The 25664-nt window shown below is 36.0% G+C and overlaps 1 protein-coding gene and 1 long non-coding RNA gene across 4 annotated transcripts in view; one reads left to right on the plus strand and one right to left on the minus strand.

The window, feature by feature from the left end:
* Positions 1-24388, minus strand: part of GPC6-AS2 (GPC6 antisense RNA 2) — a 40050-nt gene extending 15662 nt beyond the window's left edge. The window contains exons 1-4 of the long non-coding RNA NR_046536.1: positions 24358-24388; positions 22864-22923; positions 22306-22366; positions 1972-2059 (exon numbers count right to left, since the gene is read on the minus strand). This is a non-coding gene — a long non-coding RNA (GPC6 antisense RNA 2). The remainder of the gene's footprint in view (positions 1-1971; positions 2060-22305; positions 22367-22863; positions 22924-24357) is intronic.
* The window catches only part of GPC6 (glypican 6), a 1191492-nt gene that overhangs the window by 617557 nt on the left and 548271 nt on the right, over positions 1-25664 (plus strand). The gene's annotated exons all lie outside the window — the stretch shown is intronic.

Here is a 25664-nt window from a genome sequence, read left to right on the forward strand (position 1 = left end):
CTGAAAATACCTGTATTGTTGAAGATGTACCTATTCTAAAACTTCAATTTCATCCGGATAAACTGTTACATGTGCATACAATTAGACGTGTAGAAGAGTGTTTGTAGCAGGATCTTTTACAATGACATAGAAAGTAGAAACGTCACAAATGGCCCATCTGCCTAAATGGTTATCTCTTCACATCATGAAATTTTCCAGAGCATAGAAAGTGCTCATGAATGAGTTACAGAAACCTCATTGTGAGAGATAAACATCAAGTCATCTAAAATACATACATTTTTATGAAGTTCAAAAATGTAAAACTAAGCAATACATTGTTTAGGAATAAAATATATGTAGTAAAACTCCAAAGAAATTTCAAAGAATGATAAAAAGAATCAGATGGTGGTTACCTCTGGAGATGCAGTTTGGAGGTAAGATGAAGGAGGGATACATAGAGATATCTAAAGTTATCAATAACATACTATTTCTTAAGCCAGGTGCTTGAGGAGTGTGTGTGTGTGTGTGCATGCATGTATGTGCAAGCATGTATACATGAATGTATTGTGTAAAGCTTTTTTAATGAAATAAATTAAGATGTAGAAAGATTTTACCATTTTCCATCTCTGTTTCTACCTGTGTAACTACAATTGAGTCCCTGAGCTACCCTCAGTTGTTTGTAGTACTAACTACTGTTCATGGACCTGCTAGCAAGTCAGTTTCCATGTTCCATATTGTGCTAAGTGATGTCAGAAAGGCATGGAAGGAAGAGCTCTAAAATGAAGAAAAAAATAAATTTTGATAATGTGGGCACCTTGACAGAATGGATTCAGACTATTTTTTAGCACTGTCCCTTTATTAAAATACCACCGTCATTCCCTTATCTTCCACCACTAGTGAGTGGAAACATGGATACCAGCCGTCACTCTGAAGGCTTGTCAGACATTGTGAGGAAGAGAGAGGGCTTCATAAAGAGATATTAACAGATTGTCTGCTTAAACCAGTCTTTATTAATTATAAAGGCAAATGTGGAAATGACTATAGTGTCTTCACTAGTCCATCTTGATGCCATTTACACTAAGAAGACATGACTTTAAAGTGACTTCTGGCATGGCATGGTGTCTCATACTTGTAATTCTAGCACTTGAGGAGGCCGAGGCAGGTAGACAGCTTGAGCTCAAGAGTTCAAGACCCAGCCTAGGCAACATGGTAAAATCCTATCTCTACAAAAAATACAAAAATTAGCCAGTCATGGTGGCATGCACCTGTAGTTCCAGCTATTTGAGAGGCTGCAGTGGGAGAGTGGCTTGAGCCCAGGAGGTGGAGGTCGTAGTGAGCCGAGATCGTGCCACTGCACTTCAGCCTGGGCAACAGAGCCAGACCCTGTCTCAAAAAAACGTGACTTCTGGCCAGGCGCAGGGCTCACACCTGTAATTTGAGCACTTTGGGAGGCCGAGACAGGCAGATTACCTGAGGTCAGGAGTTTGAGACCAGCCTGACCAACATGGAGAAACCCTGTCTCTACTAAAAATACAAAATTAGCCGGGTGTGGTGGCACATGCCTGTAATCCCAGCTACTTGGGAGGCTGAAGCAGGAGAATCGCTTGAACCCGGGAGGCAGAGGTTGCAGTGAGCCAAGATCACGCCATTGCACTCCAACCTGGCCAACAAGAGCAAAACTCCTTCTAAATAAATAAATAAATAAATAAATTTAAAAATTTTTAAGAAGTGACCTCTATGAGTAAACGCTGTAAATTGTGTCAAGAGCAATCATTTCAACTTTGCAAGTCATCTCATTGATTTATTACAGACAAATGGGGGAGGTAGTAGAGCTGGGATCCATATAACTTGAACTATTGACAAATACTGTCAACTATCTCTCTATCCATCTCTCTATCAAAAATCTTTCTTCCTGTGGCTCATGACTTTGAAAAGAAAGTCTGACTTTTAGTCTTTAGTAAAACCGGAATATTTTCATCAACAGACACCCACCTACGTCTGCTACATAGACTGATGTTTTTGCTCGAAGAGCCTCTTAAGTGGTTCATTCCCAACTAAACAGCTTTGCATTAATGTGTGCCTAGAAAGCAACAGACAAAGTCAACTTTCAATAAATGTGGTTGATGCACTATAAGGAAAAATGTTATTACCAAATTTAATGAAATAGAGGTTATCAAATGCCTCTGTTTAAAGTATTCTCTGATCACAATGGAAAACCATTCTGAAGAATTTACCATGGATTCAATTTACAAGAGAAATTGTATTCTATTTAGCGTTTGCTTTTGAGAAAGAATTGAGAATACAAAGATCACCTGTTGTCATTATCACCTGAGTTACTTGTTTTGTCCTTCTGTGGTGGTTTTTGGATTGGAGTTAATTTTTGGGAGGGCATTCCAGAAATGAACACAATCACAAAAAGGCCTTAGGTGAATGAAAGTTTTTTTATAGTTCATTTGTGATTAGTGTATTCATTTCTGTAACTGATAATTTTTCTATGTAGATTACTTCAATAATATACAGTGTTATGAATAATTGGCAAGCCTTTTGAAATTATCAATGATGTTTCTATGCTTACAACTTTTAAATCAGCATAATCTGTGACTGCTGTCTTATGATGGTATTTCGAGTATTATATTATATTTAGAAAGTACTTTGCACTTGATAAATAATTTCATAATAAAAATAGTAAGAAATTGATATTGGGACTAGGAACCATAATAACAAAAATAGATTATTAAGATAAATCATTAAAAATGCAAGAATCTTACCATGGTTCAGATACTGTGCTAAGCACTAGAAATTACAAGAGTATAAGAAAGTCCAGGTGTCAGTAGAAGAAAAGAACATTTTCCCCTCTAGAACAGCATATGGAATGTATCACAGTTGAGTCTCCAGCAGTAAGAAAGTTTCACTTTGATTAAAACAATTTGATTATATTGATTGAAACAATTTAAGTTTTTCTCATTAATTTTAAGTAATCTTGCAAAATGTATAGCCTAGGTATGTAAATATGGAAGATTGTTAAGAAGAGAGTATAAACCAAGGAAAATGAAGCTATCTATTTCCAATGAATTAAAGGCTATTTGTGTAATCTTGTTCTTTTGTAGCTTGTGTATGTTTCCAGTAACCTATGTCTGAGTTATATTACTTCATGGTAAAATTATACTATGTATAGGAAGTCAGTTAAAACAACCACCTGTCTCTCCACTGAATCTGATTTTGAAGTTTTATTCATATTGAAAGAAGTTAGGGATTCCATAACCCTATCTAAATGTACCATGGCTAGAAAAACTTGTTTGGAACCACAGTCCTAATAACTGTATTGTACCTATCGAATATAAACTTCTGTCTTCTACAATCTGAGATAGGTGGTTATGATAATCCAACCTTCATCTGACCCAAATGTTAACTCTTGTAAAAACAGAGCCACTATAGAGATTTAGCTCAGTCCTGATCAGTAAACATTTGTTCTTTGTATTTTGTATGTCAAGTACTGTCGGTTAACTTCCTGAGACATGAAGACTAAGCAGGTTACAGCATTTACAAGTAATAATTAGGAAGAGTGAAACAGAAGCAAATAATGTCAATATATAATGAATACATATTCATTTATGTATATGAACATTATTTATGTAATGAACATTTATTATGCAATAAATGCTTTGGGAACTGAGAGGAGAGGCACCTAGCTTAATTTGGTAGGAGGAGTCACAAGTAAACTTTCCTTGAACCATGTGTTAAAGGTTGCATAGGTGTTGGGCAGGTGATGAGGGCACCTAGCACAGTGAAGGACATTTTAGGCAGAGGCAGTAACAGAGCAGAAGTGCAGAGGTGTGAAACTGAATGATGTGTGCAGGGAGCTACAAGCATGTTATCCTTGAGCCATAAAGTACAAAGCAATGATTTGCAGGAGACAAGGATAGAGACCTTAACTGAACCCTTGAATGAAAACCATCTATTTCACTAATGGTTTTGTTTGTCTATTCTGCCTGCATAATTTAAAACAGTTTCTGTGGATAGAAGCATTCCAGTACTTTCAAGAGACAGACATGGGCTGAGCACCTACTATGTGCCAGGCACTTCTCTATAAGAAACAGAGGGAAAAACAATGAATGGCATTGTCCTTGAGGGATTCACAGTCTATCACGAAGAGAGACATTATGAAAAGTCCAAGTGTAGTGTAATTAATCAGGGTGACAGACGTATGGATAAAATACTATATGAACCAATGGAAATACATGTTTCCCTTTACCTTGGGAAACGGGAGCAGACATCTTAGAGTAGGGAATCATCAGATGTGGACTTAAAGAATGAATAGCATCTCACAGAGGGAAAAAAGAGGTATGGCTTTCTTGCCAAGGGCCCAGCATGTGCAAAGGCATAAATCATGAAATGTTATGGTTGTTTGGAAATGAGGCCGGGAAGTAGATTTGAACCATATCATTTGGGCATATTATTTTTAAGTTAAGGAATTTGAAGAGCATCACGTGAGCTGTGGACCACCAGCTAAGATTTTTTAAAAGACAAATATATAATTGGTTATTTTTTCACTTAAGAAAGATGGGCAGGGAGCTGATAAACTGGCTGAAAGGAGACACACTGATGGCAGGTGCTGGGATGGGAAGCTGTTGCAATTAACCAGACAAGGGGTGATGAGACCTGAGTCAAAGCAGCATGGAGCAGATTGGGGAGCACATCTGGAAAGACCGCAGAGACCCTCCAGCTCAACAGCCACGATGCATAGTTTAGGGCCCTGTCCCCAGAGTCAGGGATGGAACTGTTTGGGAACAGTTGTCTGCCTGCTGACTGATTTGAATATCACCAACATATAAATGTTTGTTGGCAAAGGATAGCAACATTTATCTAGAGAAAGAAGAATCAGGATCAGATGAAATGTCAGAGACTGTGCACATTTAAAGAGAGTTCTGAAAACAAAGACAAATGATGAGAACCAGCAAAGCACGCCCTCCTGAAAGTAAAGAGAGAGAGAATTCAAGAAATAGACTAATCAATAGCATCAACTGTGGCAGATAGTTAAGTGGAAAGGGCAGAGAAAACAGACCTTAGGATGTGGCCATTAGGATGTTAATGACTTTAGCAAGCGCAGGTTGACTTGAGTGGTTTAATTGGTTGGGAAGTTAACTTATCTTCCCCTACACATTCTAGAACAAGGTGTGCAAAGCTTGGTTCGTGGACTGCTGCATGTTCATAAATAGGCTGTTACTGTTTTGCCACAAGATACACACCAAAATTGAAAGTTAAAAAAAAATCTTTACATCAATTTCACATTGCTCTGACACCATCAATGGGACTTTTCCTGGGATGTTGAATTTGCATGGTGAGGCTCCTATGTGTGAGCGGCATATTAGTTGTACTCAATAGGATCAGGTATCAGGTCATGATATATTGGTTTTTAATTCTGTTTATGTGGCGTATCACATTTATTCTGTTTATGTGGTGTATCACATTTATTCTGAATGTAAACTGTGGCTTATCACCGTTTACACTGCTGTGTAAACTTTGCACAGCAGTCACATCGTCATCACTTACACATGTACAAGTGAGGAGGGTAGGCAAGGTATGTGATACCATGGGCCCAACTTGAAAGTTTGGAGGATTTCTCTTTTATTGTCCCGTCTTCAGAGATTCAATGTTATGAGGATGTTCCCTGGTGCAATATCAGCGCACTATAGAGGTTTCTGAGCCAAGATCTTGCATATGTTAAACCATCCCTGCATCCTTGATATGAAACCCACTTGAGCATGGTGGGTTATTTTTTTGATATGTTGTTGGATTCGGTTAGCTAGTATTTAGTTAAGGATTTTAGCATCTATATTCATCGAGGATATCAGTCCGTAGTTTTCTTTTTGGGTTGTGTCCTTTCCTGGTTTTGGTATTAGGGTGATGCTGGCTTCATAGAATGAATTAGGGAGGGTTCCTTCTTTCTCTATCTTGTGGAATAGTGTCAAAAGGATTGGTGCCAATTCTTCTTTGATATCTGGTAGAATTCTGCTATGAATCTGTCTGGTCCTGTACTTTTTTTGTGGGTAATTTTAAAATTACCATTTCAATCTCACTGCTTGTTATTGAAGCTGGTTCTTTGAAAAGATAAATAAAATTGATAGAGTATTAGCAAGATTGACCAAGCAAAGAAGAAAGAAAATCCAAATAACCACACTAAGAAATGAAACAGGAGATGTTACAACTGACACCACTGAAACACAAAAGATCATTCGAGGCTACTGTGAACACATTTACGCACATAAACTAGAAAACCTAGAAGAGATGGATAAATTCCTGGAAAATACAACCCTGTTAGCTTAAATCAGGAAGAATTAGATACCCTGAACAGGTTGTGATATATTGGGAAAAATCAATCAACCAAAGATTGTTCAGATAATTTGAACCCCAAACAGATAATTTGAAATGTACTATTCTAGAATAATGCTAAAAACAGGAAAATAATGAACATATTTTGATTGATTTTGTTGATATGTTGGGTTTACCTTTCCTGTGTTCAGCTCCTCTTTACCTATTTTTGTACCTTCCTACCCTAGCAGTTTTTCCCAGGGGTATATTCTGGGTATGTACAACCATGATGAGCTTTCAGAAAACTCATTATGATTGGCATGTCTACTGTTTGCCTATCCCCCTCAAATACAAGAACTTCCCTGGGACCGTGGAAAATGTGTGCAACAAACAGATGAGACGTCTTTGTTACTAATAGGGAACATCCACGGGTGAAATATGCCAATTAAAGTACAGCACAAATAAAAAAGACCCAAGGATAAAACACTAGTGCTATAACTCAGAGAATGCTGCTTGTAAAACAGCTTTATGAAGAAAAATGAACCTGACGTTTATCCCAGTCTCAATGCTGCCCATTTTTGGACATTTATTTCTGAATGCAATTATGCTCTTCCTATGAGAGGGTTCTGTGAAACAAGGTTTGCACAGCAGGCACACTGTAATCACTTACACATGTACGAGTGAGGAGGGTAGGCAAGGTGTGTGATACCATGGGCCCAACTTGAAAGTTTGGAGGATTTCTATTTTATTGTCCCATCTTCAGAGATTCAATGTTACAAGGACATTCCCTGGTGCAATATCAGCGCACTATAGAGGTTTATGAGCCAAGATACACATCAAAAATAATTTTAATAAAGCTTGACAGATATATTGCCTTAATAGTGCTGACATAGTGAAGCGGGACTTATATAGGGAATACGACATCCTAACATTTTTAAAAATGAGATATTAGGTCACACAGATATTTGTAAGAAAGAGGGGGGTATGTTATTACATTTTGTAGATTTCCTCCATTGTTATCTTTGTCATTGCAAGCAAGGGTTATTCCTTTGCATCTATTTGCATTATACCTCTTCATCCTGATGAGTGATATTCAGCACAAACACAATGGGTCAATCTCAGATACTTAGAATATAGTAATCATACCAAACAATGTTGAAACTCTACATTTTTTGTGTCTAAATCAAATAACCAAGAGTGAAAATGGACAGTTCAGAGTGTCAGTAATAGGATAACGGTGACTCTAACATTCAGACGTAAGTAAAACTATAGCCGAAATCAGTAGATACTGCCAAGTTAACATCAAATGACCCTTAAGTGGCTTGCATACACAGAATTTTTTAATTCATTTTTGCCCTTGCAGGAACATGCTGCATGTCAGAAATGCCACTGTCATATTTAATACTGAACAGAGAGCAGTGGATTTTATATGGAAATTTTAACCTTTTCAGATTGTAGTGTCTGAAGAAGTGAGGAAGATCAACTTTTCTATGTTAATTTTGTATAGAATTTTGGCAATCAAAAAGTACATTCACTGAATATTTTAAACTTTCATAAATACATTAATTACGGAAACATTATGCATACTATTTTTATAGTAGGTACAAATACAAGTCTTTTCATAGAGAAATATATTCATTTATAAATAATGGGTTTTAAAATTTTCATTTGCTCTCAGCTTTCTAAAAACACGTTCTGTTACTAAAAATGTATCAAGACATAAGGAAATACTTATTTCATTGTTTTTAATGAAAATGGACAACATTTAGTAAGAAGTACACAATTTTATAACGCTTTAAAAATTAGCAGAGAACCAAGCACTTTGCAGAAGTCTTTGTTCTTTTCATCTTAGAATTTTGTTGCACAAATCAGAGGCTCAGCCAAGGAGAATTCAACTGTGCTTGCAATAAAGCATTTTATTGGAAAGACAAACCTTACGATATTCTGCTGCATCGGTAGAGAGAAGATAACTATATAAAATATTTATGCCCCATTTTCCATAAAATATCAAAAATATCTATTTTGGAATGGAGAAAAAAGTACCCTGACATTTTTGGCTAGGATGGAAGATAGAATCCAGATTGAAAGTCTTTTTTATTTGTGCAGATTTTTTTTCAGTGTTAGTGTGATAGTACTTTCCCAACAATGGTCTGTTATCCTAAATGTTTAACAAATTGTAAAACCTTTCACTCCCAACTGTCCAAGACTTCCCTCTTGATTGCTTGTGTTTGTCACTTGGGTTGTGATTTTGCAGTAGAGAACTGGAGAAATGAAATAATATTATGAATCACCCTAGCCAAATAGACATTTATATCCTTCAAATTACTGAGGAAATTTAAGTTGTTGCTCCAGCTTAAATCACCAGGATATTTATTTTTTGTTGGTGGTAAGAAAAATAAGTCACCAGGATATTTATTTTTTGTTGGTGGTAAGAAAAATAATTTTAAGTATCTTCATATATTTTTTTCTGATCCTAAAATCAATATGTGTGTTCATCTGAATTTTTTTGAAGAAGCAGAAAAGTACAAAGAAGAAAATAAAATATTCTAAATTCTCCATACCCAGAGATAATTAAATGTCAAAAGTTTTATTTCTAGTATATCTCTAATATGATTTTATATTGCAAAATTATGTGTGCTGTTTGATATTAAATTCTACTTTTATTATTTTAACATCACATGCATTTCCCCACCTCGGTGGCACTTCTTTTTTTTTTTTTTTAAGTACTCCTATATCTTAAAAATTTTCTTTTACAACCTAAGAGATTTGTTTGCTGCCGATATATCTGGGTATCTCTTACAAAAAAATAATTCCCTAAACAGCCTTACCTAGAAAATAAAACAGTTGGCTCACATCGTTTGTTTGCATGTGTGGGTGTACATGTGTGTGCATGTTTAGCCTGACTCACTTTTCACTCTGAATTCCAAGGTACATGGGAGCTCCGTAGCTCTCTTATCATGTATTTAACTGCTGGAATTTACTGATCACTTTATACCTACTCCACATAGTTCCATAACTTAGAAACAGTTTTCATTCAAAAGGGAAAAGAAAGGATGGGTATATAAAGGGGAGATAAGGAATGAGGCTGACAAAAAAATGTGTGGTAGAAATCCATGAACAATACCTTCCATTGGGCCCCAAATCTGAATCTATGTCAGATTAAAAACTGGTGGACCTTGGTCCAAACTGGCCCAGTTGTATAAAAAAACATAATTTATTTGGCATGAGCTCTTTAGGATTTCAAGCAATGTTTTTAAATTGGGCGGATTGACATAAAATATGGATTTCTACAGTTTCTTGGAAGATAAAACAACCCTGAGCCGGCAATTGCATAGCAAAGATCAGCTGGAGTTAATTAGTCTTTAGACTGAGCTTTTTTTTGCCTTAGCATCCATGTTCAGTTTAACGCAGGTCTGAACACTCCTGGAGTTGGCCTGATCCTGAATTCAGTGCTAGTTGCCATTTAGCTCAGTGCTTAGCTCCTTTGTTCATAATAAATAAATATTTTTCTGTACCTATTTTTTAACCAAAAGTGAAAAAGTGTAATCCAAATAAGCCATGTGTCAAGAAAAATAATGCTTCAAAAATAATGCTTTTTTTTGTTTTGTTTTGGAAGTACACAATATGTTAAATATTTAATATACAAATAGCATCTGTGGTTAAAGAACACATTCAGTGAACTTCACTCACAGTTATTGTTCATCTCCCTAGCCTGTGAACTTGCAAAGTCTCCTTTAAGCTTTATATTGGCCATCATTTGGTGTAAACACTGTTTCTTTTTTTTAAGACAGAGTCTCGCTCTGTCACCAGGCTGGAGTGCAATGCCACGATCTCAGCTCACTGCAAACTTCACTTCCTGCGTTCAAGTGATTCTCCTGCCTTAGCCTCCTGAGTAGCTGGGACTACAGGCATGCACCACCATGCCCAGCTAATTTTTGTATTTTTAGTAGAGACGGGGTTTCACCATGTTGGCCAGGATGGTCTCGATCTCTTGACCTCATGGTCCGCCCACCTCAGCCTCCCAAAGTGTTGGAATTACAGGCATGAGCCATCACGCCTGGCCGGTAAACACTATTTCTTAATTAAATGAAAGTAAACCCCACTTTTTGATGGGGTTGTTTGTTTTTTTCTTGTAAATTTGTTTGAGTTCATTGTAGATTCTGGATATTAGCCCTTTTTCAGATGAGTAGGTTGCGAAAATTTTCTCCCATGTTGTAGGTTGCCTGTTCACTCTGATGGTAGTTTCTTTTGCTGTGCAGAAGCTCTTTAGTTTAATTAGATCCCATTTGTCAATTTTGGCTTTTGTTGCCATTGCTTTTGGTGTTTTGGACATGAAGTCCTTGCCCACGCCTATGTCCTGAATGGTAATGCCTAGGTTTTCTTCTAGGGTTTTTATGGTTTTAGGTCTAACGTTTAAATCTTTAATCCATCTTGAATTGATTTTTGTATAAGGTGTAAGGAAGGGATCCAGTTTCAGCTTTCTACATATGGCTAGCCAATTTTCCCAGCACCATTTATTAAATAGGGAATCCTTTCCCCATTGCTTGTTTTTCTGAGGTTTGTCAAAGATCAGATAGTTGTAGGTATGCGGCGTTATTTCTAAGGGCTCTGTTCTGTTCCATTGATCTATATCTCTGTTTTGGTACCAGTACCATGCTGTTTTGGTTACTGTAGCCTTGTAGTATAGTTTGAAGTCAGGTAGCGTGATGCCTCCAGCTTTGTTCTTTTGGCTTAGGATTGACTTGGCGATGCGGGCTCTTTTTTGCTTCCATATGAACTTTAAAGTAGTTTTTTCCAACTCTGTGAACAGACACTTCTCAAAAGAAGACATTTATGCAGCCAAAAAACACATGAAAAAATGCTCATCATCACTGGCCATCAGAGAAATGCAAATCAAAACCACTATGAGATATCATCTCACACCAGTTAGAATGGCAATCATTAAAATGTCAGGAAACAACAGGTGCTGGAGAGGATGTGGAGAAATAGGAACACTTTTACACTGTTGGTGGGACTGTAAACTAGTTCAACCATTGTGGAAGTCAGTGTGGCGATTCCTCAGGGATCTAGAACTAGAAATACCATTTGACCCAGCCATCCCATTACTGGGTATATACCCAAAGGACTATAAATCATGCTGCTATAAAGAGACATGCACATGTATGTTTATTGCGGCATTATTCACAATAGCAAAGACTTGGAACCAACCCAAATGTCCAATAATGATAGACTGGATTAAGAAAATGTGGCACATATACACCATGGAATACTATGCAGCCATAAAAAATGATGAGTTCATGTCCTTTGTAGGGACATGGATGAAATTGGAAATCATCATTCTCAGTAAACTATCGCAAGAACAAAAAACCAAACACCGTATATTCTCACTCATAGGTGGGAATTGAACAATGAGATCACGTGGACACATGAAGGGGAATACCACACTCTGGGGACTGTTGTGGGGTGGGGGGAGGGGGGAGGGATAGCATTGGGAGATATATCTAATGCTAGATGACGAGTTAGTGGGTGCAGCGCACCAGCATGGCACATGTATACATATGCAACTAACCTGCACAATGTGCACATGTACCCTAAAACTTAAAGTATAATAAAAAATAAATAAATAAATAAATAAATGAAAGTAAACCAAAAGCTAAGAAGAAAACTCTACTATTTCTGATGTTAGGACCAGGGAAGAATCCTCCCTTCCATTAATGCCCTCAAAAACATCCTCGTAATATATACAACTAGACATTGAAGCCAAAATGTACCAAAATGTATAGCAAGCACAGGCTTAGAATTGTTCCTATTTTATGTCATTATAATATCATCACCATTATGAAAATTCTCTTCCTGTTCAATGTAATGCAAGCTAACAAATGATTACTTGCCAGCCACTATGCTAAGTACTTTTTACACCTTGCCATTTAGCCCTTACATTAAACCTATGAGATAGGTATGGTTATCATTCCACTTATTATATAAGAAACCTAAAGCAGAATGACACAGAGCCTATGCTGTAATATTCCACACTGCTTCACCCACAGTTGAATTTTTGGTCTCTAAATACAGCAACCTAATGCAAAACTCAATGGTCTATGGTAGTGCTATTCGACAGGAATATGATGTGAGCCACATATATAATTTGAAATTTTCAGGCTGGGCACGGTGGCTCACGCCTGTAATCCCAGCAATTTGGGAGGCCGAGGCAGGTGGATCACGTGATGTCAGGAGTTTGAGACCAGTCTGGCCAACATGGTGAAACCTGTCTCTACTTAAAGTACAAAAAAATTAGCCAGGCATGATGGTGAGCACCTGTAATCCCAGCTACTCGGGAGACTGAGGCAGAAGAATCACTTGAACCGGGGAGACGGAGGTTGCAGTGAGCTGAGATTGCGCCATTGCACTCCAGCCTCAAATTTTGGTGTGTATTTTGTGCTTATAGCACATTTGGGGTTGGACTAGCCACATTTCACATACTGAAGAAGAGCTTGTGGCTATAGCTAAGGAATTAGTATGGAGATAATGTTTTAATACATTATTCTCATATTTAAGATAAGAAAATTTAAAATATCTCCCTAGGAAGCCTAAACTCTTGTGGATGATTATTCATACACTTTCTGTTTATTTCACGATTATTCATACACAAGGAAAATGGAGAAATATTCTGTCTTTTCATAATGCATTTTTGTCTGTAATTGGAACTCTAACATAAGTAACATAGACACTTTATTGAGGGATTTGTTCTTGCCATTGCCTCAAAGGCCCTACAAGGAGTGCTACTTCTGTCCCTTAAGTGTAATGGCCATGAGGAAGGTTGCAAGTCATCATGGATGAACTACTCTGTGATTTTCAGTCGGCTCTGGGGAAGTGGAGGAGACGCATTAATACAGGAGGTGGCACGTGTCTGTGGATGTTAGTATCAGCAGTAAACGAAATAAATAAATGCCCAATTATGATCATGAGAAGGGGCCGTCTGAGATGTTTAGCTCTTTAAAAATAGCCATAATACTCATAAAGCTGGCCCGTCACTGGGTTAAATGACTCAAAACCACATGACTCATTTGTGTTCACGTAGATTTGAGGGTGTTTCACAATCTTTGGGTAAAGAAGGTTCTTTTCAGGTAACAGCCATGAAGCATTGGTTCTATTTGATTTGTCATTAAACATTTTAGAATATAACTTTTTAAAAAATATGAAATTACAATTTTAGTGAATTATTACTTGGGTGCATACGGTGTTACACTAAGTAAGTTAACCAAATTGACATTCATTGTCCCAAAATGCTTATCTCCATGAGGAAGGATCTTCTCATTAGGTGGGTCATATTTAATAATTCCTATTAATTTTTAAGTATGCATTATGGAATTGATACTTTCACCGCCATGCTGCAAATTGTGATGTGTAATTCATTTTCCTTTTGTAATATAGAGAGTCAGATCAACCTGGCAGAAGTATATGCCTCTGTGGCTGCAACCATGTTCTGAATACACACAACTTTCTCCTGGGCTCAAAGTATCATGGTGCTGAAGAGCTGACTTTGGGCTTATTTTATAATTCTCTTCGTTAAATTAATTTAGAATATGTACATGGATTTATTGTGAGATTTAAAGTCCTTTCCCTCAAGAGAGCCCAGAATATTGGTCTAGCAGTTTTTTGAACACAACATTGACTCAATTTCTGGGGCCAGTCAATTTAATGTCAGCATCCCATAATCTTAGCTACACAGTCATTTTCTCTCTACTTTTCACTTCTGAGTCAAAAATCTTTTTGAGAGATTACAAGTATGTCAGAGTATTTCCAACAGAGAGAAAGTTTGTACATAACTTCTATCTGCATCCTCAAATTCTTACTTTTTCTTTATTCCAGCATCTACGGTTTGTGCTTTCTCTTGGGTACTCAGAAACCCTCAAACTATTGAAAATTGAGTTTAGAAATTTCAAGCAACACAATCATTTTGTAACTTTCGTTTTGTGTTGCTTTCTTTCTGTGTTGCTTCCTCTCTATATTTCTCCCTTTCCCGTGCCTTGGTTTCTGCTGAAATCTACATCTCAATCACCCCAAGAATAGGCTGTTGCCACCTTAAGGCAACCCTCCCAGTCATTAGGCTCTGTACCTTCTTTTGGGCATCCTACGAATATCTTCATCAAATACCACTTTGATGAGGTTACTGTCCTGTTTACAAGTCCTGGCAGTATATTACTTATCAATTACTTTTTAAAAATCTGGGGTATTTACTAAGTCCTTGATTCTCTGCTAGGCATGGACTTTAAATGTCATATTCCTACCCTCAAGAGGTTGACAAGTCTGAAGTCCGCAGCCTTGCCTTTAAGTCTTCCATCTCTCACTTACCTTGCGGCCTGGTATCTTTAGTCCCAACTCAACAGCCAATTTCTCAAGCAAATTTGTCTTGCCCACTGCCCCCCGCAACCAATGTAATTTTTATCAGAGTTTCTTTGCCACTTTCCTTACTCATTGTGCCTTCCTCTCCCCTTTCTTTCAAACCCAGCTCGCTTGCCTCACTCAAAACTTGCTAAAATCCACTGACCACCATATCTCATGTATCCAGGAAGCTCCTTAGAGCTGAACCAGTTTTTTACTCACCCTCTTTTCAGAACCCCTGTACTAAGATTTCAGCATGTTTGTTGATTCAAAGTTTTCACATTGTACCATACAGTGGGCCTTCCCAACCTGAAATTGTAAACTAGTACTCAGGGAAGGAACATGCCTTCCATCCTTATCATTCCTCAGAGCAAGAACTATTGCAATTTGGATATGGTAGACGTTGAATAAATATTATTACTTCTATTATATTACTTTTTTTCTTTCTTTCAGTCTTACCATGGTTGGGATGAAGGAGAGTAATATTCATATGCGTTATAACATCTCCCACTTTATTGTAAATAGTGCCCTGCCTGAATACCTGATGGTTTTGGAAAAGGATGTACTATAGTTCTTTCTAAAACCCTACTTTCTCACAAAAGAGATAAAATTAAATACTCATGGCATGTTGTTACCCAACAGAGTGGTAGCTTCTTTTTAGGTTTTTTGGAATATCCAGCTCGAAAGACATTGTAGATGAATGAAAGATGAATGACTGAATATAAGCTGAGAAGGCCCATCTCCCTCTAGCTCTCACCTAGATGCAGTTGCAGCTCAAGATCTGCTGAAGAGTGGTGAATCTTTGTACTCAGACTTCCAAAACACCTATATCTATACTGTCCACCTATACATAGATAAAGATATCTATACTGTTTCCATAGTTAATGGAGCAACTCTTCTTTCCCTCAGATTTTCCCTTCTTGCCTTAGAATTCAGCTCATCTTTCCAGAGGCTTGTTGACTTACTTATTACAATTGAGTTTGGTAAATGATTAGTGGAAGGAAGGGTATACCAGTAGTTTCATAGTCTTCACACGTGAACATTGTACATTTCCCTAGGTGTGGGTAAACAGAAGAGAAAGATGTACCAAAATGCTAAAATGATGGGAACATTTTTACCGTGAATTATTAGAATTATTAAGGAGAAAGGAAAGAAATAAAGGGAGAAGCAACTAATAATCTCTTTTGTAAAGTGCTCACATTGCACATTTACAATTAAGCTGTTCTGACTTCTGTAATTAAAATAATTTCCTCTGAGAGGTCTTAATCATTCATGCCCATGAGTAAAAAAAGGCTGTTGTCATGAATGAGCGATTAAAAGGAAGATCTTATTCAGATGCATTAGTTCCTATGAGAAATCTTTGAAAACAAACCACGCATGAAAAAGACAATCAGTAGGTTTGGCCAGGGTAATTTTGGCAATCTGTAGAAAACACCAGTGCATATGTTTATTCACCCCTTCATTCAGCAGCATTTATTGAACACCAACTCTTTGGCAGGTGCAGTGGGTGCGATGGTAAATAACACCTAGCCCAGCCTTAGAATTCCCATTCTAAAGTGGATCCCAGACAAATGAATAGTAGAGGCCAATGAGGGCTAAGATAGGTATTCATGAGTCATAATAACTCGGGAGACCATTGGTACAAGCTCAACCTATGGGGACCCTTTGACCTTAGACCATTTTATTTTGCCAGTCACAGATTTTATATCAACAGAAGCATAAATTCTAATGAAGATATGAAAATTCACTGTTTATTGAGAAAATAAAACTCCATAAACAACTAGTTAATATTTATTGACTAGTCACAAGGTATATGCAACTGCTGCTGGGAACAGTGAATTTTAATTATATATATATGTACATTTTCTCTTTTACATTATATGCTATATCATGACCGTAATATGAAAATAACATAGGAGAAAATGTAAAGAGAGGAGAAACTTGATGTAATCCAGAGCTCGTTAGACCAGAAATAGGAGATACCTGGAAGGGAATTCTTAGTTTGACCCTAATTAGTTGTCTGAATAACTTAATTTCTTTTCTCTTTGATGAAGTGAGGAGATTAGACCACATGAAATGCTTATTGGGAATGAAATTCCCAATGTGATGGTTATTGAGGTCTTAGACATATGACTGAGAAACTGAAGTATAGTTTCAGGACTGCACCTCTGAGCATTTAGATCTGCCTTGGAAGGGGTTGGCCAATTAATGCACTAGCAGTTATTTTGAAAGTTGTAGGCTGTACTTCATTGTATGTGTCTTTGAATATGGCTTGAGAATCTAACTACTTCTGATTGTCATCCTTGTAATTGGGCTTAATTCTAATTTTGGTGTAACACAGCTTACTTTTATAATAACAGGACTTTTTAAAAAATCACTTCAAATTCCAAAGACAGTGTTGAGCAGCTGGATACCTGTATGCCTAATGGATTTCCATGGGCCTCTAGAATTCAACCTGTTTTGCTGGCAGAGCCAGACATCTAAATCTACTATACTATGTTTTTGTATATGATTCATAATTTTAATTTTGGCACTCATGATCTATTTGGTGTTAAATACACGTTACTGCCAGAGATAATGGATGTCCTCCTAAGGAAATGGTGTTTGCAGTGTTCTCTATTGAATCTCACATTTGATTGGCATGTGTATCCTAAAAAAATTGGCATAGCACTTTGTTAGAGGGCACAGTGCCATCTAACAGTCAGGGAAGAATATAGGCTGAAAAGTGATCACAAATGAAGTCAGCTAGGAGTGTTCAGGAATCAAGATTTGGCTCACTGCAGTAGAGGGAAATAAGTACTTTTATGAAAGTCTTCTTTTATGCTAAAGTTTCCACTGACTGTAACCTTTAAATATATCTCGGGAAGATTTGAAGGCACTTTTGCTAGCTTGGAAGAATTATGTTTAAAATTTAATTGTATAATGATGTTGAAAAACAGCATTATGTTTGTATTTACTCTACAGTTTGTTAAATCAATATGCAGGTGAATCTAGTATATCAAATCGCACAGTCAACAGGATTTTGTGTACCAAGTAAAATAAGTAGAGGATTATATCCTTCTGCCACTTGTTACCTAGTGAAATTCTAGGTCACTGAGCTTCTGTTATCTCATCTTCAAAGTGGGGATAATAGGAAGTGGGGATGATGTACTTACCTGAAGTTTTTATGATAGTTATATGAGACAAAAATATGATAAACGTGTTTGGTAAGCAATAGCAGATTCCTAAGACTAAGAATAGTCTATAATATCACAGTTTTACATAGAGGTGAAAAAAGCAAAATGTATTCCAAAGTAGTTGACAACAAAAACCTATGACAGCAATATCAAATTTAAACACTGTAATATTCTGTATTATAAACATGATGATACTAATTATGGAATACTATACCGGTTCTGAGGAATAGGCTCTCTTTATATCTACTCTAGTCTCATTACACTGCTAGGCATTGGCAAACAAAGGAACACACATGGAAGTCATCTCAGTTTTTGTTCTTGTCTAAAGTTTACAGGTATATGCACAATGCCTTTTGGAAACGCATACTTTGTAAACTGCATATAAGATACACATGGGGCTGAATCAATAAAGTTCAGCAGACACCACATTCCTATTCTGTTCTCTGTATTCTCTCCAAAGTATCTTTAAGGCTACAGTCAACAATAAGATTTTTGTTGTAGACAACTAATTAAAGCCGAAATAAGCACTCCAAATAATTTCATGATTTCTACTGGAAATTTTCAGGACTTAGCAATTTGTGGTACAATATGTCTAAAATAAATACTACCAGCTTTTCCTAAAGTAGAGCCTACAGTATAAAGTTAAAAGTAAAAACTTTCTGATTAATGATTTCTCTCTCTCTCTCCAATTAATAGCAGAAAACCACTGAAAAGAGACTTTTTCCCCACAAACTCTCAATTCTTGTACACATGGTTTTATTATTGATTGTACATGGGAACTGACTGTGATTCTGTTACTTGAAATTTTATTGTTCCCTGAGTGTTGACTTCAAAATTACATCTCTTCTCTGTTGGATCTTCTGAATGGCTATGATCCAGTTTCCAATCTAGAGGGATATTTCACCCTCTCTCTTATTGGCTAGTATCATTCCCAGAAGGGATCTGTCTTTTGTGCTTATTAAAGTTTATTTTGTACAAAAATTTATGTTCCTCATCTTAGTATTTAATCAGTATTTTAATCTTATGCAGGCAACATATGTACCAATTTCAAGGGGATAAAATGGTAATTAAAAATCCAGTTAAAAAATAATTACAAATATTTCTGGGGAAATACAGAAGAAATGTGATGAACATTGTTCTATGTTTACTATTTCCTCTTCTGACATTGTCACTAATAATGAAAAGTTTTATTTAAAAACCAAAACACGGTCAAGCAATACTCTAATTAAATGGTGGGGATAATTTTAAAAATTCAGCCAGGCTCCAGGAGTATAATTCAAGGTTAAGTAACATCTATTTGTCTTTCCCTGCTTCTTGCCTATATGTAATCTTTTCTTCTTGGTACAATGCATCGGTGTGAACAACGCCTTACCACCACTATGGCAAAGGAACCATTGGATTTATAAATAAGGCAGAAAAATCAGTTTATTATCATATTACCATTCTCCACAACAATTTCTTTGTCTTTCAAAAACCAAGTAGAGGTTAAAGTGTAGAACTGAGTAAAGCTTGTAAAATCATTTGCAAGTCTTTAATCAAATTTTTACATTCAGGATAAATTGTTCTAATAGACCGTTCTATATAATGCCTTAATTACTATATTTTCACTCCTAAAACCTTCAATCGAGACAGAAATAAAAAAAATATGAATTTTAAAATTTTACTCTATTTAACACCTGTAGACAATTTGTCTCTTATCCTTGTGTTAGTCAATCCCTTTAAACTCACATGGTGGCAATAATTGTATCTTTATGAAGTAGTATAGTTGATCAAATTCAAACTGCCTTCCCCAGATAATGATACACGTTAATGTGTTTTCTGAATTTCTTTACTGATGCTCCAGAAAGGAAGACAAGTTCATTTTTATAATTTTATTTTTAATATTTGTGTTATTGTTGTCCTCACGGGAATTAAATACTATATATGAACACTATTAAAATTCACAAAACTACTCAAGTCAATGAAACACAGTAACATGTTCACAGGGACAAGATAAAATGACTGTAACTATTGTCAGGTGTCGGAATTGCTTTAGCCTTTTCCATAAATCATGGTGGAAGTATCATTATCATACATGATTAATGACACTTCACGTCGTGGATCTGATTACAACCACAAAACAAAGAAAATAAAGAGGAAATCATTCATGAACACCCTCTATGCAAAGGTTGGGGTGTTTCTTTCAAATTACCATAATCTGCCTACTCAGCCAGTCAAACACAATTCACTGAATCCAACAGAGACCTAACAGAGATTTTCCTGATGATATTCAGGTCTCTTTCATAAACACTGAGTGAGCAGTTTGGGGAACAGCAATAATCTTTTTTCCTTCATCCCATTTCTCGTTTGGAAATCTCTGAATCCGTATTTATTGATCCAAGCTACCTTATATTGAAAAACTATTTTTTTCACGATAGTAGTATTTGATTTATTTAAAGATAACCTTAAACCTCATGATTCTGCAAAATGCTAGGGTATTTTTCCCCAAAACTGTGCTCTTTAGTTATCTGTTCTCAAATCACACTTGTTTCTTAATAGAATGAGCTTACATGTTATATTTTCATTTGGATTATATTGTTAAATTTTCACTGGTAATCCACTGAAATCACACGTGAAGATTTTCTTTGAAATACATGTTAAAATTATTTTAATACAAAAGACATTTTATATAGTTGAGATATTTTCTGATTTTTAAGAAGCATCTACATACATGGAATAACGTTTTAATTATTGACTACAGAGTATTCTTATCCATTAATCAACTAACTAATCCATTAATATAGTCTGCTTGATAACACATTATTTGTATCACTTTTTGTTATTTTTAGAAATTTACAACAATGAACTTTCTTTTATTGAATAGTCTATCCTTAAGATACCTAATTTACTTTCCCACCTAAAAGAATCTAAGTACATTTTTTTAAAAGAATAGACATTCTTTTTCAGAGCAGTTTTAGGTCCACAGCAAAATTGGAAGGTACAGAGATTTCCCACATAACCTTTCCCCTCCTGCCCCTCACCTCATGTACAGCCTCCCCTGGTATCAATGTCCCCACCAGAGTGGCACATGTGTTATGACTGATGAACCTCATTGACACATCATTATCAAAAAGGACCATAGTTTACATTAGGTTCACTCTTGTGTTGTACATTTTGTAGGTTTGGACAAACATCTAATAACATGTGTTCACTTTTACAGTATCCTACAGAATAATGCTGCCCTGAAAACTCTCTATGTCCCACCTGTTTATCTCTCCATCCTTACTAATCCCTGGCAATAACTGATATTTGTATTGTCTCTATAGTTTTTGCTTTTCCAGAATGGCATGTAGTTGGGAATTCTACAGTATGTAGCCTTTTCAGATTGGCTTCTTTGACTTAGTCATATGTTTGTGAGGTTTCTCCGTGTCTCTTCATGGCCTGGTAGCTCATTTCCTTTTAAGATTCAATAATATTCCATTATCTGGGTGTAACACAATTTTATTTATCCATTCATCTACGGAAGGATATCTTGGTTGCTTCCAAGTTTTGGCAATTATGAATAAAGCTTTCATAAATATCTGCATGGAGGTTTTTGTGTGGATATGTTTTCAGTTCCTTTGGGAAAATACCAAGGAGCAAGAATGCAGGATAGTATTTATAGTTTTGGGAGAAACTGACAAACTGTCTTCCAAAGTGGCTATACCATTTTTCATTCCCACCAGCAATGAGTGAGAGTTTCTGTTGCTCTACATTCTCACCAGCATTTGGTGTTGTCAGTGTTCTGGATTTTGGTCATTCTAATAAGTGTGTAGTGTATCTCATTGTTGTTTTCTTTTGCATTTCCCTGATGACATATGATGTGGAGCATCTTTTCGTATGCTTATTTGCCATTTGTTTGCTTATTTGCCATTTGTATGCCATTTGTATGTCAGTGAGGTGTCGAAGTCTTTAGATCATTTTTTGATTGACTTGTTTTCTTATTGTTGATTTTAATCATTCTTTCTATATTTTGGATAACAGTATTTTATCAGATATGCCTACTGCAAATATTTTCTCCCAGCCTGTGGCTTCTCCTTTCATTCTCTTGACAGTGTCTTTCACAGAGCAGTTTTTAATTTTAATGAAGTCCAGTGTATTGATTCTTTCATGGATCATGCCTTTTGTGTTTGTTCCTCAGATGCATATGAATTGGTGAGAGAGTATATATCAGCATTCTTGCACTGCCATCTCAGTTCTCTCCTTCAGGCTCAAGAGGCTACAACACAGCCTCCTATAAACTATGCTTCCCAAAATAATCTTATTTGGGTGAAAATTGCCTTCCCTATAGGTCTACTCAACAGCAGCTGAAAGTTGAGAGTTAAGCAGAATATCGTGACTCCTAAGTGATGTCAAGTGGGTTGAGGATAAGGCAGGATGTCCAAAGAATGTTTAAGTCATCCAAACATTAACAATCAGCAAGTATTAATGGAGCACTTACCTTGTTTCAGGTGCTGTGGTAGGCAGAGTGTACTGAGAGGTCCAGAAGGCATGGATCCTCACTACAAAAATATCAGAATAAGAGACAAAGGAACATAGGCAAATGAGAAATTTGTAGGGAGCTGTGTGTAGCAAAAATATTTGCACAGTTTACTCCAAAGAGTAAGTAAGAAACTATGTCTCAATGATGCAGTGGGTAGTTAGTTGGTGCACAGGCTTGGGAAGAACCTAGATATCCTGATGCCTGAACTAATTTTGCAAAGATACAGATATTTTCAAGGTGGACATGTGTAGAACATCATTCTATGCAGATGGAACTGTGGTGGACATGTTTGAGGTGGCTATAGCTTCAATTAAAAGAAATAAGCACTTTGGAGAAACAAACCAGGAATGGATTGTGAGTCTTGACTTTGATAATGGATCCTCTTGCTACATCATTAGCTGACCTCCAGACCTGGTTCATTGTGCCTCCATTTAAGAGAACGTGGTTAAATAGGCAAAGCCAAATTTCTTGTGGATTTAATAAAATAAGAAGTCAAAGAAAAATAGCAGTAACTACCTTTTCTCATTGCCACTGTCTGGTGCCTATTTCTTGTTGTAGATTCTTATTCAACATTTCCTATATTAAAATGGCAATACAATACAATATTTACAGCCACATATCACTTATTTAGTACCAAAGGGATGCAATGCATTTTGTCACTAACATCACCTGAAGACATTTTTCCCATTGGTCACTATTAGAAGGGGGTATAAAATTCATCCTTATTGGAAAAAGGAAAATAGATCACAATAAATTGCAAACACATCAGGGAGTTTACTCCTAAGCAGCAGGAGAGAATCAAAGAAAGTTTTCATGTAGAAGGAAGGCAGCAGAATGAAAGAATCACTCTGTGGGAGATGACAAACCATAAAAATATCAGAGGTGTTGCATAAGATTTGGAAATGGTCAGCTATGTCAACCCATTGTGAATTCTATAGATAGCTCAAGTTTTGTGCAGATGTTATCCAGAATAATTTGATCAGGTCCTGTCTTGTTTAGAGAATAATAAAATGGTGCCTTTGTCAGCATGTGCAAGTGATATAACAACAGTTTATTTTTATTCCTTGAGAATTGGAAATTGTCTTTATCTCTGAATAAAAAGAAGCCCAGAGATTCAGCCCACTTTCAGGTCTTTGGAATATATACAAAGTAAGGTAGAAAAAAAGAAGCTTTAAATTGAAATCTATTTAAAATATTGGGAATATCATATGTTATTTATAGGACTGTTGGTAACTGTTACTTTGCTTTCTGAACACATTGTTTTCAGCAAATGCGTTAAAGCAAAGGGCTACTACTACTAAGGGCTAGAGAAAGTGGAATGGGAGAACTGGCCTTTAAGTTGCTAATAATTTTTCCAAATAGAGAAAATGTATATATACACCCCGAATAAAGAACAACACAGAAATATAAGTGCCAAACTATGTAATACAGACTATAAATAATATATAGGGTCAAAGAGAGGAATGATCTTTGTGGGCCATAGATAATGGGGAAGAGGAAAGAACTGAATTGAACCATTAGTATTTATTTTCTTTTTTCACTTTGAGAGTGGATAAATTGCTGCTAACATACATTAATTACATATTACAATTCAAATTCTACCCTATAACAAAAAATCTACAACTACCCTTTAAAACAATTTATTTTAAATAATATTAATTATAATGTAAATGCATTGGTTGTCTACCACTTAACAGTTTGACTGATTAGTTGCTATTGATATTTTTCAGTGCTGAAAGTGCTTCTTATTCACAAATCTTTATTCGTACAATTAAATCTTTTTTGAGGTGGTCAAATTAATCCCAATTACTATCTGTTGTTTTGTTAATAACATAATATTTCTACACTGTCATTATATTATTAATTGAGCTTGTATAAATAAATAATGGCCAATGGATTATGGTTATATGTGGGGTCTATTAGTTATGAAATTTTAGTTTGCCATTTTAGGTCCCATACATAATTTGGCATCAACACTTTATTAATGCAAACAAGTAGAAAATTTGAAACTTATCTCCAATGGAAGATGGAAGACTGGATGAGATCACCAAGGAAATGAGTGCATGTAGGGAAGAGTAGAGATCCAAGAACTCCAGCTTCAGAAATCTCAAAGAAATGGACAAATCAGCAAAGACGATTGAGGAAAAGAACCAATGAGACAGAAAGAACACCATGAAAACATGATGTTCTAGAATTCAAGTTTAAAAACCTGTAGCACGGAGGAGGGAAGGAGGAGAAGCAAGTAACAGTTTGCAAAAGAGTATGAGAATGAGAATGGCCTGTCAAATTAGCCATGCAGAGCTCATTGGTGGTATCGACTAGCAGTTTTATTGGAGTAGTGGGGGTGAAAGTCTAAGTGGTTTTAGGGAAGAATAGGAGGAGAGTCACTGTGGGCAGCAAATGTAAACAAGACTTTTGAGGAATTTTGTTATAAAAAGGGAAGGGAGACATTGAAGCTAACTTCAAAGTAGAATAAAGGGAAAGAGGATTATTATCTAATACTATTAATAGTAATGATTATTATTATGTTAAGATGAAAGAAATGAGAATTTGTATTGTGCTAATGGGAGTCAACGCAGAGAAAAATTTCTAATGAACACTTCATTAACTTAGGTCATCTCTTTAACATCTCTGTGGGGTCTATACTATTATATCTTCAATTTAATAGAAGCAGTAACATTACCCAGCTAGCATGTGGGCAATCTGGTATTTTATTCTTGGCATTATTGTCCAGTCTTAGGTCTTAAGCACTTTCTCTTAAACAGTATCTATCTTTTAAAAATGCACAAACATGTACTTATACCAGCTAAATTATAATGTATCCACGTACCATTTTCTTTAGGGAATTTCTTAGTGATGTGTCTAATTGTTCTTTCATTTTCATGTATTTTACTGAAAAATAAACTATTCAGTGTTATATTGGTTAATATAAGTTCTCATCAATTTCTGAAATGAATATAACTGCTTTATTACCAAGAAATGATTTTATAATCTGTAAATATTCATTTGACAGGTTTTTACCTTCAATTGGCTTAAAGTAAAAGAAAGGAATATTTGGGTTTAAACTGAGAAAAAAGTTGGGTGATTTTTGTCCTAATTTACAGATAAAGATTTCTCTTGTAGTAGTTCTATCTTGTAGTAGTTACCATTGTCTATCATTTTGACCAAGAGAAAGATAGCACGTATAATTACGCATCAGTAGTTTTCCCTTTGTACATATCTTTTTTGGGGAGAGCGGGGAGCACAATTCAAGTCTTAACAACCATGTAAGCATTTTATGTGCATTTTGATTTCTGTGAGCTACATTGGGAACTGTA

The sequence above is a fragment of the Homo sapiens genome, chromosome 13, assembly GCF_000001405.40.
Source record: "Homo sapiens chromosome 13, GRCh38.p14 Primary Assembly".
NCBI lineage: Eukaryota > Metazoa > Chordata > Mammalia > Primates > Hominidae > Homo > Homo sapiens.